The 2,690-nt window shown below is 41.7% G+C and overlaps 1 annotated feature.

The window, feature by feature from the left end:
* Window positions 1,232–2,168: an enhancer, noted in NCBI's record as "OCT4-NANOG hESC enhancer chr9:86766071-86767007 (GRCh37/hg19 assembly coordinates)". NCBI's record gives its function as "activates a minimal SCP1, AML or CMV promoter by ChIP-STARR-seq in naive and primed H9 embryonic stem cells {active_cell/tissue: H9 hESC(naive and primed)}" and the evidence as "EXISTENCE:reporter gene assay evidence [ECO:0000049][PMID:30033119]".

Genomic DNA, 2,690 nt, shown 5'->3' on the forward strand with positions numbered 1-2,690 from the left:
AGAATAATAGACACTGGGGACTACAAAATGTGGAAGGGCAGGGGAGAGGTGAAGTTTGAAAAATTACCTGAGAGGTAATCATCCAGACTTCAAAAAGCCCAGACTTCATCACTACACAATATATGCATGTAAGAAACCTATACTTGTGGCTGGGCGCGGTGGCTCACACCTGTAATCCCAGCACTCTGGGAGGCTGAGGTGGGCGGATCACCTGAGGTCAGGAGTTCGAGACCAGCCTGGCCAACAAGGTGAAACCCCATCTCTACTAAAAATACAAAAATTAGCCAGGCATGGTGGCGTGTGCCTGTAATCTCAGCCATTCGGGAGGCTGAGGCAGGAGAATTGCTTGAACCTGGGAGGCAGAGGCTGCAGTGACCTGAGATCACGCCACTCTACTCCAGCCTGGGTAACAGAGTGAGACTCTATCTCAAAAAACAAAACAAAACAAAAAAGAGAAATCTATAATTTTATCCCTTAAATAGATAAAAATAAAAAATAAACTTAAAAAAAGACACAATAATAGAATAATGGAAGCTGGCAAGTCTTTGACTAAGCCACCCATATTTGTGTAGACTTGAGGAAATCCCTGGGTGCCAACTCAAGCTTTGGTGAGACCATGTCTTCTTTCATTATTGTAACTGTAAAACTGAAGGCCCTTGCACACTTCTCGGAAGGCAACCATCCTTTTTTGTTGTGTTTTGTGGTGTTCATCTTGTTTTTTAGGTGCTGGAAAGAGATGAGAGGTAGGGAAGAATGTGAGCAGGGCCTTGAGCACTGGCTGCTGAGGGACCTATGTGGTGGCTGAGGCTGTCATTTCCAAACAAGCCCCTGGGCTCAAAGGCTGCCAATAATGCCTATGAGCCATGGTGTGTTTCTGGTAGAGAACCTGTAAACTCAATATTCCATCTTCAGATGTTAATCCAAATTGCCTTTTGTGATTCCAGTTTGTTCTTTGGTGAGTTTGGAAGGGCAGCCAGTTTTTCCAGGGATTCCTGGGAACCCCAGTTTAAGCTGACTTTAGAGGCTCCAAATTGCTTTAAAAGCATACATGAAGGCCACACGCCCCACTACCTTGTGATCCCTCTCCCTTTCTCATTCTCCTACCTTCCCCCACAGCTTATGAAGTTGTTAGGATATGGAAAATGCGTCTAGTGACATCTCAAATATAGAAGTCATCTGTCCTGGAGGCTCAAAACTTGCCTGTTAACTGCTGCTGGCAAAAAAAAAATCTTCACTGGATATTTTTTTTCTTTTAAAAGAATGATCATAAATTAAATAACTCACATAAAGATAAAAACATCTGAAATGTATTTGCCACCAAAGACAGGCAGCTTTCCTTAAAGGGAATTGAGTGTTGGAAATAAAGATTTGTAAAGTCAGAAGAGAACCGAAAGTCCATAGGTAGCCAGGACTCAACAAAATGCAATGGGTTTTCCTTTTCTACAGGTTCGAAGACGGCAACGCTGCATTTCTTTGTTCTTTGTGGCTCCTCATTGTCTTGTTAATCTGGACACGCAATGGCCTTCAGGAACTGGTGGGGAGCTCACTGGTCTCTAAGTTCTTCTTAACACAAAAGGACAATATTTAAAAGGCCACCCCTCTCAAAGCCATCTCTAACAGGATTTCTGCCAATATCTGTCTCTTTCAAACAGTAAGGAGACTTAAAAACAGCAACAGCACCTCCCTAAGCCTCCCTCAGCCCTTTCTTTACAAGTTCTTTCCTTTAATGAAGGGAAATTGGCATACTATATTGTGTCAGAGTTGGCGCTTGCATAGATACAAATGGGAAGCAAAGAGCTCCTGGCTGCCCTGGTGCCAGGTGTTCGCTAATTGTAAAACTGAATAATGGATAATAACCCATCTTAGTGTGTTTATCAATGCAGTTCGCTCTCTACGATGCAGAAGAGGTCACTGGAGACAATGTGTAGGCCTCTCATCTCTCCTATTCATTAACGAGGCACTGCTGGCTGGAATACAGGCTCCATTACCTAGATGCAACAATGATGGGGCCCTGCATCAAATTGTAATTAGGTTTGATCAGGGCTAGGGTACAGTTGCTATAATCAGAATCACTCAGAATTCATTTTATACTTGTGAAAGGATATGAGGTGAGATTGATTTAATGGTAACCAAAGCAACCCCCTTTTCTATAACTCTCTGAGCTTATAAAAAAGCAAAAAGAGAAAGGGAAAAATGGAGGGCAAAGGAAAACAGAGATGAGCATTTTAGTTCTATTAATTTTATTGTAACTAGTTAGGAGAAAATGTGTTACAATAAGAGCAAATATGTGATAGCAAGGTGATCACTGGGTCCTAGAAACTGCTGTGGGTCTCATTACATGCCTACAGCACATCCTGGGATACTTAATTTCCTCTCCCTTTTTGTCCATTTCGTATGTGTTTGGAAACATCCTGATTAGAGCAAGAATTTCAATTTGCAGGAAGAAGAGGAGGAAATTCAAGCTGAGTAATATTTCCTTTCTCTAGTAAGAATCAGTTATTCAGCCTTTTACCTTTGGCCCTTTGTATATATCTCAGAACCAATGACCACTGGTTTCTATGAGAGCAAATAGAAGGTTTTGGAGACCTGTTTGTGAAATGGTTTAAGAAGTTACAGAGATGTGGGTGGTGTGGTAAAGGGACCATATCTAATTCCTCATTACTGAGTGGTTATTAAATTTTTTCAGGTTA

The sequence above is a fragment of the Homo sapiens genome, chromosome 9 (assembly GCF_000001405.40).
Source record: "Homo sapiens chromosome 9, GRCh38.p14 Primary Assembly".
Classification (NCBI taxonomy): Eukaryota; Metazoa; Chordata; class Mammalia; order Primates; family Hominidae; genus Homo; species Homo sapiens.